The following is a 12,129-nucleotide window of genomic DNA, read 5'->3' as shown; positions in this document are numbered from 1 at the left end:
AGTGGTTACCAAACTTATGAATCACCTGGTGTTGTGTCATAGATTGTCTATCCTTGCCTCTCGCCCCCAGTGATTTAGATCAGTGGAACTATGTGGGGTTTAAGAAATATACAATATATATTTGTATATATTTGTGTGTCTCGAAAGCTTCAGGGTTAAATAAGTTTTAACTGTTTAGGAAACACTATTGTTTTAGGTATCCAGTCTCAAAGACGAAGGCCTTTAAAACTTACTTAATTTTTCATTACATTTCTTGCCCAGAAAATTGTAAAATACCCAACGATAACAATGGGGAATTGTCTATCAGCACTTGACTAAAAAGCTTTACTATCCATGACAGCAGCCTTTGCATTACTCAATTCTGATGGCATTTAACGTCTTGAAACCCAGAAATAAATACCTATAGACTCACAGTACCTGAAAGGAATACCAAATTGAGACAAGAGAGCTATATAAACCAAAAATTGCTTCAACCACAGAATGGAGGTCTACAGGTGCGGAAGGAAAGTTTATATGGTGAGGCTTGGTCGCAAAACTATTAGGAATATTTTCAGGTTACTACACAATTTTGCGAGCTCAATATGCAGTTAACACTTTTTCCCTTGACTCTCCTGAGCAGATTTACATTGACCGCACCCGTAGCATATCGTCTCACTTTGGAAAAGGCAAATTATGTGCACATGACCCTGTCACTACAAGGTAGTTCTCGACCAAGCTACATCTTATAGCTTTATCTTATATTCCTCTCCCATCATCTGCAGGAAAAGGGATAGGTGCTGAGGGAAAACCCCTAAGTAGAACTCACAGTAAGCAGTGGGAAAACAGCTTATTTCACTAACGGGGTTAAGTGGCCCTGAAAAGAGCCTTTGGAGACAAAGCAGCCGGCGACCCGCGGAGGGAGGGAGGGAGGGAGCGAGCGAGCGCCAGGTCCCGGCAGGGACTCACTTGGAGCTGGCGTACTTGGTGACCGCCTTGGTGCCCTCGGACACGGCGTGCTTGGCCAGCTCGCCGGGCAGCAGCAGGCGCACGGCCGTCTGGATCTCCGGGACGTGATGGTGGAGCGCTTGTTGTAGTGCGCCAGGCGGGACGCCTCTCCCGCGATGCGCTCGAAGATGTCGTTGAGGAAGGAGTTCATGATGCCCATGGCCTTGCACCAGATGCCGGTGTCGGGGTGGACCCGCTTCAGCACCTTGTACACGTAGATGGAGTAGCTCTCCTTGCGGCTGCGCTTGCGCTTCTTGCCGTCTTTCTTCTGGGCTTTGGTGACGGCTTTCTTGGAGCCCTTCTTGGGAGCCGGCGCGAACTTTGCAGGCTCAGGCATGGCCAGACCCAAGACCGACACCGACCCCCGAGAACGCAAGCAGAGCGGTAGGCTCGGGGTCTACCGGAAACGACTGTGTACTTACAGAGGCTGTGCGCATGACGCTGCGTTATGGTTCGCGAGTTTTCCGCGGCGCGCAATGCGAGGGAGACGAGATTATGTAAATGAGTGGATTCTGGCTGAGCTATCCTATTGGCTATCGGGACAAAATTTGCTTGAGCCAATCAAAGTGCTCCGTGGACAATCGCCGTTCTGTCTATAAAAAGGTGAAGCAGCGGCGTTTTCGGCGACTTTCCCGATCGCCAGGCAGGAGTTTCTCTCGGTGACTACTATCGCTGTCATGTCTGGTCGTGGCAAGCAAGGAGGCAAGGCCCGCGCCAAGGCCAAGTCGCGCTCGTCCCGCGCTGGCCTTCAGTTCCCGGTAGGGCGAGTGCATCGCTTGCTGCGCAAAGGCAACTACGCGGAGCGAGTGGGGGCCGGCGCGCCCGTCTACATGGCTGCGGTCCTCGAGTATCTGACCGCCGAGATCCTGGAGCTGGCGGGCAACGCGGCTCGGGACAACAAGAAGACGCGCATCATCCCTCGTCACCTCCAGCTGGCCATCCGCAACGACGAGGAACTGAACAAGCTGCTGGGCAAAGTCACCATCGCCCAGGGCGGCGTCTTGCCTAACATCCAGGCCGTACTGCTCCCTAAGAAGACGGAGAGTCACCACAAGGCAAAGGGCAAGTGAGGCTGACGTCCGGCCCAAGTGGGCCCAGCCCGGCCCGCGTCTCGAAGGGGCACCTGTGAACTCAAAAGGCTCTTTTCAGAGCCACCCACGTTTTCAAATAAAAGAGTTGTTAATGCTGGCCACTCTCAGTCCAGCGTTCCTCAGTAGTGAATAGCGAACCTGGAGCTGACGGGACGGGACGGGACGGGACGGGACGGGACGGGGCGGGGCGGGGCGGGGTGTGTGTGTGTGCGCGCCGTCTTCCATCTGGAGCACGTAACTGCCTTGGCTCTTCGATGAGTGGGTCCCCAGTCCTAGGACTTCCCAGGGCAGGTGCAGGCACCAAACGTCCTGGGCGCCGCCACGGTCCGCTCCACACAGTCACAAACACCAGCGCCGCGGGCAGTACCCAACGCGCTGAAGTGTTGCGCGCGGAGCGCGCGCTTCCCTAGTGGTTTCCGCAGGCTATGGCCGGACACTTAGACCTAGTCTGGCACCAGCGGGACGTGCTCCTCGTCCCCACCCCCGATGGGGAGGGCCCTGAGCGGGTAGTGCTCGCTAGTGTGGCGGAGCTGGGTCTTGGCTTCACTGAGCTGACTTAAGTCTTAGTTTCTGTTTTGTTTTCCAAAGCGCCCTGGCGGCGGAGAGTAAGGGCCTCGGAGGCGGAATCTTGCGTCCTGGGGGCGGGCACCTCTCCCACCCAAAAGGCACCCGACAGGCGAAAAACGATCCGCCAAGTAGCAACTGGGGGCGGGGGGCAAATGGAAGAATGAGGTTCCACGCGGGAGCTGTAGGGCGCAGCAAGAAAGGGGGGGTATTGCGGGCAGTGTGTTCTAAGGAAGCGAAGGGCGGAAAGGGAACAATCTGACAAAGCTGCAATGGAAAATGACTTTCACCCTGAAGGAAAGGGGAAAAACAAGCTTGCGAAACTTCGCCAACTGGTAAGTAGAAAGTGAGGCGGGGTGGGCGGGATTAGGGAGGAATCTGCCCAAGCCAACCGGTGACTTTAGGACGGGTGACGTCACAGCCAATGGACAGCCAGCGCGGGATTTTCAATTATTGTTCCGCCCAATCGGGAAAAGACTGTGCTTATAAAGACGGCTGCGGCGGGGCTAGGAGCTCGTTTTTCTCCCCGCCGCTGCGCTGGTAAGCCTGTGTTTTGGTTCGCTATGGCCCGTACTAAGCAGACTGCTCGCAAGTCGACCGGCGGCAAGGCCCCGAGGAAGCAGCTGGCCACCAAGGCGGCCCGCAAGAGCGCGCCGGCCACGGGCGGGGTGAAGAAGCCGCACCGCTACCGGCCCGGCACCGTAGCCCTGCGGGAGATCCGGCGCTACCAGAAGTCCACGGAGCTGCTGATCCGCAAGCTGCCCTTCCAGCGGCTGGTACGCGAGATCGCGCAGGACTTTAAGACGGACCTGCGCTTCCAGAGCTCGGCCGTGATGGCGCTGCAGGAGGCCAGCGAGGCCTACCTGGTGGGGCTGTTCGAAGACACGAACCTGTGCGCCATCCACGCCAAGCGCGTGACCATTATGCCCAAGGACATCCAGCTGGCCCGCCGCATCCGTGGAGAGCGGGCTTAAGAAGTGGCGGTTCGGCCGGAGGTTCCATCGTATCCAAAAGGCTCTTTTCAGAGCCACCCACATCAGCACTTGGAAGAAGCTGTACCGCTTGCCCTCCGTGCTCCTCCGGCATTAGAGCGGGGAAGGCACTTCCGCTTAGGCTCCCAACAAAACGGGGTCGGGTCCCCCTGCTGCGGTGCCGTCTTGAGCTTTGCCGACTTCGGCCAATTGGCCTATCCGCACTGGCCGGGCTGCGGACGCTTTCCTGGGCGCCGGCTCGCGGGCTTTGGCGGTCCGGCTCCCCCCGCGCGTGACCGGGGCCCTGCGTGGCGGGGGGGCCGGGGCAGGAGAGACGGGGCGTCGGGCACGAGGCCAGGGGTCACTAGGGGGACGCTCAGGGCTCGCGGTCCTGAGCGCGGCTGGCCTTTGCGGAAGTGGAGCGCCACACGCCCGTGCTTCGCGCCCAAACCGGCCTCACCCGGCGCGGCCATCCGGCTAGGGAGGGAAATGACCACCTCGGCCTCGCCGGGGTTCTGCGGACAAACGTGGGGAGAACTGCGCTGGGGCTGCCGTTCAGTCCCCGCGCCACCTCCACTAGCACAGTGGTAACCCCCATATCCTGCCCCTAAGCCAAAATTCCCGGGGGCACGGGGTGTGGGCGGAATTTTGTGAATCTGGGCTTTATCGAGCCGTTCCCTGTCCATGTCCACAGAAGGAGATTCACTATTCCAGTGAAGGCACTCGGTCCTCTTAGAAGCTGCATGGTATGTCTGGATTTTCTGTCCAGACTCAGTAGTTCCTTTACGTTGTTTTCGTCGGACATGTGGGCAGACGCTGGTGCCCGAGTTCAGATCCTTGGGAAGACAGTAGATCAGACAGGAAGAACGTGGGCCTCCGTTGGGCAAATGAAGCTCTTCGCCTTAGGAAATCGTGACAGGAGGCCACAGAGGTGATCTCTACAGTCTCTGGGAGCTGGGAAGTCCAAGGCCTCTTAGTGGGAAAGTGAGGCAGGGTCTTGCAGAGCCCACTCTACACACGGCCAGATACAAATGGCTGTAGAGGTCTTAGATAACACCTTCTCGGTCATTTATTTGCACCTCAGAAGAAGCCAGGGCTTCGGTTTTCTGTTTGTTTCATCACAGTTGACAGGTTAAAAGCATTCACTGCAGCGATCTATGAGAATTAAGAGGGGAGAAGGGGAAATGGAATAAAACTTCGTTTTGTAAAGCTGCCATTTTGCCTTTCCTGAGGCGTGTTAAGCGAGGAGAGCAGCGTAGGTGAGCTCTGCTGGGGACTGCCACATGTTTCTGCTCCAGGGTCACAGCAATTTCTAGAGCATGCCTCTGGGTCTCTGCCGAGACCCTCGTAACCTGCTTAGGCCCACAATGTATGGGCGGTATTCTGACTTCAAAAAGTAGTGACTTTCAGAGGTGGGTGGGTCACTATCTCTGCACCCAGCTTCTCAGGCCCAGTAGTAACTGAGCAGAGACTGGAACCTGGGGATGTTGGTGTCAGACATCTAGGTCCTCTGACTGCCCCCACAAGGTCACACTCCTTTTACTCACCAGTCTGGGTACCTCTAAACTCCAGGAGGTCTCCCTGGCTGAATCTCAAAAGGAAAATTTCGTGGCATTTTTTATATCCAGTCAGGAATAGAATTCATTACATCTTGTGGTCCTGGCACTGTGAAGGCCTGCACTCACAGGAATCTGTCAGTCTTCGTATTTGTTTGCGAGACCAGCATAAGCTGAATTCATCAATACAAGATAACATTCTAAAATGTTAAGTTTTAACATTTAATCATTCCCTGTACTTAAATCATTGTCTACCCTCAGGTGAGAGTTAAAGGATAATTAAGGATAGGGTAAAGAAATACTCTTCCTCTGACTAGGCATTGTGGCTCACAGCTGTTAATCCCAGCACTTTGGGAGGCCAAGTCGGGCGGATTGCTTGAAGTCAAAGTTCCAGACCAGCTTGGGAAACATAGCGAGACCCTGTGTCTCTACCAAAAAAAAAAAAAAAGACAGAAAGAAAAATGAAAAAATTAGCCGGGGGTGGTGCCATTTGCCTGTGGTCCCAGCTACTCGGGAGGCTGAGGTGGGAGAATCGCTTAAGTCCGGGAGGCGGAGGCTGCTGTGAGCTGAGATTGTGCCACTGCACTCCAGTGTGGGTGACAGGGAGTGAGACCCTGTCTCGAAGAAAACCCACCTCTTCCTCTAATAACCAGCTTCTACGTGGCTACCTTGGTTGCCAGTAAGTCCACTCTGAATCTGTGGCTTTTATGAAGTGAAAAACGTGCTTTGTTCACATTTAATTCTGCCTTAGGCTAGTGGGGGACAGGTGTGTGTGTGTGTGTGTGTGTGTGTGTGTGTGTTTAGAGGGAAACTACGTGGTAAGAGACATGGCCACGTTTACACTGATTTTTCTTCCTTAGAAGAGGACTTGTCCCCTGGGTCCACTCTCCTGGTCACCCTTATCCTTCTCTAGGTCCCCATCTCAGTCTTCTCATGTCTTTCTCTTCCCCATCAATATTCCTGGTTTCCCCCATGCTGGCCTTGGCCATCTTCTTTTCTCCCTGCAACTCAAGTGAGATTGATTGCCTGCTTTCACTATTTCTGTCCCTTAGCTAAGCGCTCCCAAATTGCTATCTTCTGCTGAGACCCTATCCTGAGCTCTACACATTTTGTGTGTGTGTGTGTGTGTGTGTGTGTGTGTGTGTGAGAGAGAGAGAGAGAGAGAGAGGGAGATAGAGAGAGAAAGAGAAACAGGGTCTCACTCGTCCAGGCTGGAGTGCAGTAGCACAATCAAAGCTCACTGCAACCTTGGACTCCTGGGTTCAGGGGTCCTCCCACCTCAGCCATCTGAGTAGCTGGGACTACGGGCACACACCACCAGGCCCAGCTAATTTTTTTTATTTTTTGTAGAGTCAGGGTCTCACTTCATCGCCCAGGCTGGTCTTGAAGTCCTGGGCTCAAGCCCTCCTCCCACCTTGGCCTCCCAAAGTGCTGGGATTATAGACGTGAGCCACTGTGCCTGGCTACACCAATGTTTCTAACTGCCTGGTAGACAGGTCCTTCTGGATGGATACTAGGCACTTCAAACCCAGCTTATTTCCAAAACCACATGCCTCATCTTGCTTTCCAAGCCCATTTGTTTCTTTCCACATTCCCCATCTTCCTGGAAGACACCTTCATTAGCCCCATCTGTTCTGGTTGGGTGTCCCTTCCTCTTGTCCTCTGTCCAAATCTCATGAGTTCCAAATATTACTAAATCTGTCTTCTGACTTTCAATTGTATCACCTTTTCTCCGTCCACCCATGACCATGCCTTAACTGAAGTCCTCGCCAGCTCTGGTCTAGTAGATTACATAGTCAGGCTGGTCTTTCTGCCCTGCCATTGAGCTTCCACTCCGTATGACAGCTATCTTTTTTTTTTTTTTTTTTTTTATGAGACGGAGTCTCGCTCTGTCGCCCAGGCTGGAGTGCAGTGGCACGAGCTCGGCTCACTGCAACCTTGGCCTACCGGGTCCATGCGATTCTCCTGCCTCAGCCTCCGGAATAGCTGGGACTATAGGCGCCCACCACCACGTCCGGCTAATTTTTTGTAGTTTTGTATTTTTTGTATTTTGTGATCCGCCCGCCTCGGCCTCCCAAAGCGTTGGGATTACAGGCGTGAGCCACCGCGCCCGGCCAAGAGCTATCTTTTAAAAACTGAGGGTTTTTTGTTGGTTGGTTGGTTGGTTGGTGTTGCTGTTTTGAGCCTGTCACTTTCATGCTTAAAAATTTTCCACGACCTTCCCATTCCCTTCAGAATGAAGTTCACATTCTTTTGCATGGCAGTTCAGAGCACCGGAGGTTAATTACTAGGAAGGACTCTGGAGTTAGACAAACCCAAGTTTGATTCCTAGCCTTGTCCATGTAAACAGGTGCATGACTTCAGGAAGCAAATCTCAACAGGTTTAACTTTTCCCATTTGTAAAACAACGAGTAACTTGCTCGTTGTTTTGTTGGAAATCATGAAAGTGACAATTTCTGTAAATTGCGGTGCTCATGCCTGTAATCCCAGCGACTCAGGAGGCTGAGGCAAGAGGATTGCTTGAGGCCAGAAGTTCGAGGCTGTGGTGAGCTGTGACTGTGCCACTGCACTTCAGCCTCGGCAACAGCAGTGAGACCCCATGTCTAAAAAAACAAAGGACCTAGCACAGTAGTAGCACAGTATCTGGTCCAGAACAAGCACCCAATTAATTTGTGCTACTCTATTAATAGTTACTAATTTAAAAAAAAACTGAAAATATTATACATCTAGTTCTTTATGTTTCCCACAGCCTTCCCAGGTTTCAGATGTTCTTGCAGCTGAACAAGAATGTTTAGCCCCACACGACATCTGCAATCTCCAAGTACACAATATCTTCACACATTCCATTTCTGTCCAGAATGTCCTCCCCTTCTCTGTAACCCTGAGAACCCCCATTCTTCAAGATTCAGCCCTGTGAGCCTTCCCTTGCTCTTCTGGTTTTTTGTTTTTTCTTTTTCTTTCTTTTTTTTCTTTTCTTTTTTCTTTTTTTTTTTTTTTTTGAGATGGAGTCTTGCTCTGTCACCCAGGCTGGAGTGCAGTGGCGCGATCTCGGCTCACTCCAACCACCGTCTCCCGGGTTCATGCGATTCTCCTGCCTCAGCCTCCGGAGTAGCTGGGACTACAGGTGTGTGTCACCACGCCCAGCTAAGTTTTATATTTTTAGTAGAGACGGGGTTTCACCATGTTGGCCAGGATGGTCTCGATCTCTTGACCTCATGATCTGTCTGCTTTGGCCTCCGAAAGTGCTGGGATTATAGGCATGAACCACAGTGCCCGGCTCCCTTGCTCTTCTTTGCCCTCATCTCTTTGGGCCCTCCTCCTTGCCTCTGCCCTCTCCTATCTTAATACCCCTTCCCTTCCTTAACCTCAGCATTAGGCTGGCAACATTTCTCAGGGTAAGGATTTGTCTTTGTTTATTTCCATAGTAGCAGCAGTACCCAAGCAACGCCTGGTCACAGTAAGTCGAGTGAAACCATCTCTCAAAAAAACAAAACAAAACAAAACAAAAAACGAACTACATTGAGTGGGAAAGGCAATAAATATATCACCTTTGGTTTCTGTATCACTTCATGGCCTCATTCTTCTTTCACACAGAACTTTTCATTTGATCCTTAAAATAATCCTGTGAAAAAGGCAGGAATTCTCAGTAATTGGCCGGGCACCGTGGCTCATGCCAAAGAAAAAGAGGCCAGGCGCGGTGGCTCACGCCTGTAATCCCAGCATTTTGGGAGGCCGAGGAGGGTGGATCACCTAAAGCCAGGAGTTCGAGATCAGCCTGGCCAACATGGCAAAACCTCCATCTCTACTAAAAATACAAAAATTAGCCCGGCATGGTGGTGGGCACCTGTAGTCCCAGCTACCTGGGAGGCTGAGGCAGGAGAATCACTTGAACCCGGGAGGCGGGGATTGCGGTGAGCCAAGATCGTGCCACTGCATTCCAGCCTGTGTGACAGATCGAGACTCCATCTCAAAAAAAGAAAGAGGAAGGAAGGGAAGGAAGGGAAGGAAGAAAGGAAGGAAGGAAGGGAGGGAGGGAGGGAGGGAGGGAGGGAGGGAGGGAAAGAAAGAAGAAAAGAAAAAAAGAAAAGCTGTTACCTGCATCAGTGGCTTTCAACCTTTAATGTGTATCGGGAGGGCTTTTTTAAAGCACCGATTACTATGTCTCACCCCTCAGTTTCTCATTCAGTAGGTCTGGCATGGGTCCCAAGATTTTATCCGAGGTGATCAGTGCTGCTAGATGAGAGGCTACACTTTGAGAACCACTAATTCAGACAATGGACGTGTTTTCTCCCCCACTCCCTTTCTGCTTTATCTTCAAATTTTTGATCTCCTTCTTTAGTGGATCTTGGTGCGGATCAGATATATTCATCAGCATTGCCTTTAAAGTTAAAAACAATCAGTGATATTCGAAATAGCAATGCTGGAAATCACAGGTCAGATTTAAAAGGGAAAAGGAAACATCTTGAGCATTAAAACCTCTATTTCTCACCTGGACATCTTCACAAATGTTATTCTTGCCACTTCCTCCCTGCCCTCGCCCCCTTTACTATGTATCTCAGTAGGACGCCAATCATTCTGCTCTTTATTCAGAGTCCGACACAAGCCCCCACGTCCATAGCCAAGTTTTCCCCGGTTTCCCAGCAGCCAGTGACTTCTGTAGCATTAGGATTCTTATAGTAGTTATTGTCTACATTTCTCAGCAGATTGAATATGTACTGCCTCTTACTACTGGACTGTTTATTCTTAAATGTGTACAGTATGGATTTATGTCGTCTATATATTATGCATTTATTTGTCTTCTTCGTTGTGATGGTAAGCTCCTGGAGGGCAAGTCTTGCATCCACTGCTTTGCTGGCAACCCGACTGGTAAGCTTCTGGAAGGCAAGGCTTGCATCCAGTGCTTTGCTGGCAACCCGATTGCTAAGTACCGTGTTTTAAGCTTAGTTCAGTCTCAAGTGTTTGCAGCCACATCTGAAGACCAATAAAGCAACTGCTGGTTTATCCTTTGGGAGCTGACAGAATTTCTTCTCCCAAATACATACACAGTAAAATCATAAGCCTGGAATGAAGAAAAAAAAAATCTTACGGGCAATGCAATGGCTGCAAAACTATAAGGATTAGAAATGTGAACCCACATTTTAATCCAAATTAGGGCAATTTAGAGGTGGTAGCGTAAAGAATAGCTTGCTGTAATATACGCCATGCTGATACAGAATTGGCTTTTGGCCTTGTCAAAATTAAATTGTGCTTTCTGTATTGATGGTGGGCATGTTTCTGCAGGTCTCTCATTCTAAGCTACAACAGGCCCTAAGAGGTAGAAGTCACATACCTGAATTACCTGTGAAGTTGCTTTCAGATCATATCGTTGGTTCACTCTTACAGAAGGATCACTTTAAAATATCTCTGCATTTGTATCCTTGCAATGCCACAACTAAAAGACAGTTATCTCATAGGTCCTTGATTAAATTAGGAGGCTTTTTATTGAACACAAGAAATGATACTTTTCAGGCACTGGGCAGATAACTTGCTAGAAAGGCATTTTTTAACTGTGCTAAGATTGAGCTGAGTGCGTGGCTGGAGACACCACACAACACGGACCCTTGCTAAGGCATCTAGTCCACCCGCTTGTTATGTAGAGGGTGAAATGAAGCCCAAAACAGTCAATCGTGAACTCTAAGCCGATCAGGTGGGAAAGCCGGCATCTCTAGAATGAAAACCTAAGGCTGCTTCTCCCACTTTGCCTGAGCAAATATAGTGAGATTACACAGCAAGGCATGTGTAAATTGCCAGTGCCTATTTCTCAGAACCAGATTTGGTGATCGCAAAGACTGACGTGGCCCTCTAGGTGTGCCTATACTGCACCAGAAGAGCAAGCCGAGAAAGCAGTGCTCAAACCTAGAGCATTCAACCTTTCATACCGATAAAGGCTTTAAAAAAAAAAAAAAAAAAAAAAAAAGCCCAGGTAAGTGAAAAAGCCGCTTTCGGTCAACGACTTAAGTCTTTACGGCTGTGAGCGCTATGGGCCGCGGTAGCTTTCCGTTAACTTCAGATCCGATTGTCGCCCCACTGCCAAAGTTACCTTCCAACATCGTTACTGTTGCACTTTACGCAGTCAAGTGTCCAACTCCTCAGATGAGCAAGTGGTCGGCCCTAAAAAGGGCCTTTGGGATCGAAACGTGCAAAGCTGGAGCGGCGGCCTAGCCTCCGAAGCCGTACAGGGTGCGCCCCTGGCGCTTGAGCGCGTACACCACATCCATGGCTGTGACGGTCTTGCGCTTGGCGTGCTCGGTGTAGGTGACTGCGTCCCGAATCACATTCTCCAGGAACACCTTCAGCACACCGCGGGTCTCCTCGTAAATGAGGCCAGAGATCCGCTTAACGCCGCCACGCCGAGCTAGACGCCGAATGGCAGGCTTGGTGATGCCCTGAATGTTGTCTCTCAAGACCTTGCGGTGGCGCTTAGCGCCCCCTTTGCCTAAGCCTTTTCCGCCCTTTCCTCTGCCGGACATGACCGCTGGAGCCCGATAGACAGCTTCTGTCAAGGCGAGCACCGTCTTCCCCTGATATACAAGAGTATCGGACCAGATTGAAAACCGAAAGCGCGCCGGCGGGAAGCGTTCTCAATTGTCCCCGCCCTCTCGACATTTCGTCATTTCTTTTCTGTTTTCCTCTCCCTCCTCCTCCACTCTGCTCAGGTCCCTCTCACTCTTTTTTTTTTTTAACCGCTACGCCACAGTCCCCGGGAGAATTCAGATCCCAACCGGGGCTTCCGGATTCTGTAGTGGCTTTGGCCTGTGTCTGGTCTGAGGACGCCCGGAAGGCATTGCACTGAGGCTAAGGGAAAGGTCTCTGGAGGGAGCCTCAGGAAGAGCAAATGGAGGCCAGAGACTGGCAGGAGCGCGCCAGCGCAGGATTTAATCCCGACGAGCGGATTCAGAGCCGTGCTTATATAAAGCTTCAGGA

At 51.3% G+C, this 12,129-nt stretch overlaps 3 protein-coding genes and 1 pseudogene across 3 annotated transcripts, besides 1 other annotated feature; 2 read left to right on the top strand and 2 right to left on the bottom strand.

The window, feature by feature from the left end:
- H2BC19P (H2B clustered histone 19, pseudogene) lies at nucleotides 850-1,323 on the bottom strand (annotated as a pseudogene).
- On the top strand, nucleotides 1,610-2,142 carry H2AC18 (H2A clustered histone 18). Its single transcript, NM_003516.3, has one exon. It carries the CDS (start codon nucleotides 1,662-1,664, stop codon nucleotides 2,052-2,054), a length of 393 nt encoding a protein of 130 aa, NP_003507.1. The 5' UTR covers nucleotides 1,610-1,661; the 3' UTR covers nucleotides 2,055-2,142.
- A 1,009-nt stretch (nucleotides 2,143-3,151) lies between these two features.
- On the top strand, nucleotides 3,152-3,673 carry H3C14 (H3 clustered histone 14). The gene has a single exon (NM_021059.3). The coding sequence runs from the start codon at nucleotides 3,203-3,205 to the stop codon at nucleotides 3,611-3,613; it is 411 nt and encodes a 136-aa protein (NP_066403.2). The 5' UTR covers nucleotides 3,152-3,202; the 3' UTR covers nucleotides 3,614-3,673.
- Nucleotides 3,311-3,884: an enhancer, noted in NCBI's record as "NANOG-H3K27ac-H3K4me1 hESC enhancer chr1:149812048-149812621 (GRCh37/hg19 assembly coordinates)". NCBI's record gives its function as "activates a minimal SCP1, AML or CMV promoter by ChIP-STARR-seq in primed H9 embryonic stem cells {active_cell/tissue: H9 hESC(primed)}" and the evidence as "EXISTENCE:reporter gene assay evidence [ECO:0000049][PMID:30033119]".
- H4C14 (H4 clustered histone 14) lies at nucleotides 11,308-11,703 on the bottom strand. The gene has a single exon (NM_003548.2). It carries the CDS (start codon nucleotides 11,673-11,675, stop codon nucleotides 11,364-11,366), a length of 312 nt encoding a protein of 103 aa, NP_003539.1. The 5' UTR covers nucleotides 11,676-11,703; the 3' UTR covers nucleotides 11,308-11,363.
- Nucleotides 11,704-12,129: the final 426 nt, after the last annotated feature.

Source organism: Homo sapiens, chromosome 1, assembly GCF_000001405.40.
Source record: "Homo sapiens chromosome 1, GRCh38.p14 Primary Assembly".
Lineage (NCBI taxonomy): Eukaryota > Metazoa > Chordata > Mammalia > Primates > Hominidae > Homo > Homo sapiens.
Note: the sequence above shows the minus strand (reverse complement) of the source record. Positions and strands in the feature narration are given on the sequence as shown.

What these genes read in the sequence shown, in the direction of transcription:
- H4C14 (NM_003548.2), bottom strand. Translation starts at nt 11,675, where the DNA reads ATGTCCGGCAGAGGAAAGGGCGGAAAAGGCTTAGGCAAAGGGGGCGCT.
- H3C14 (NM_021059.3), top strand. Translation starts at nt 3,203, where the DNA reads ATGGCCCGTACTAAGCAGACTGCTCGCAAGTCGACCGGCGGCAAGGCC.
- H2AC18 (NM_003516.3), top strand. Translation starts at nt 1,662, where the DNA reads ATGTCTGGTCGTGGCAAGCAAGGAGGCAAGGCCCGCGCCAAGGCCAAG.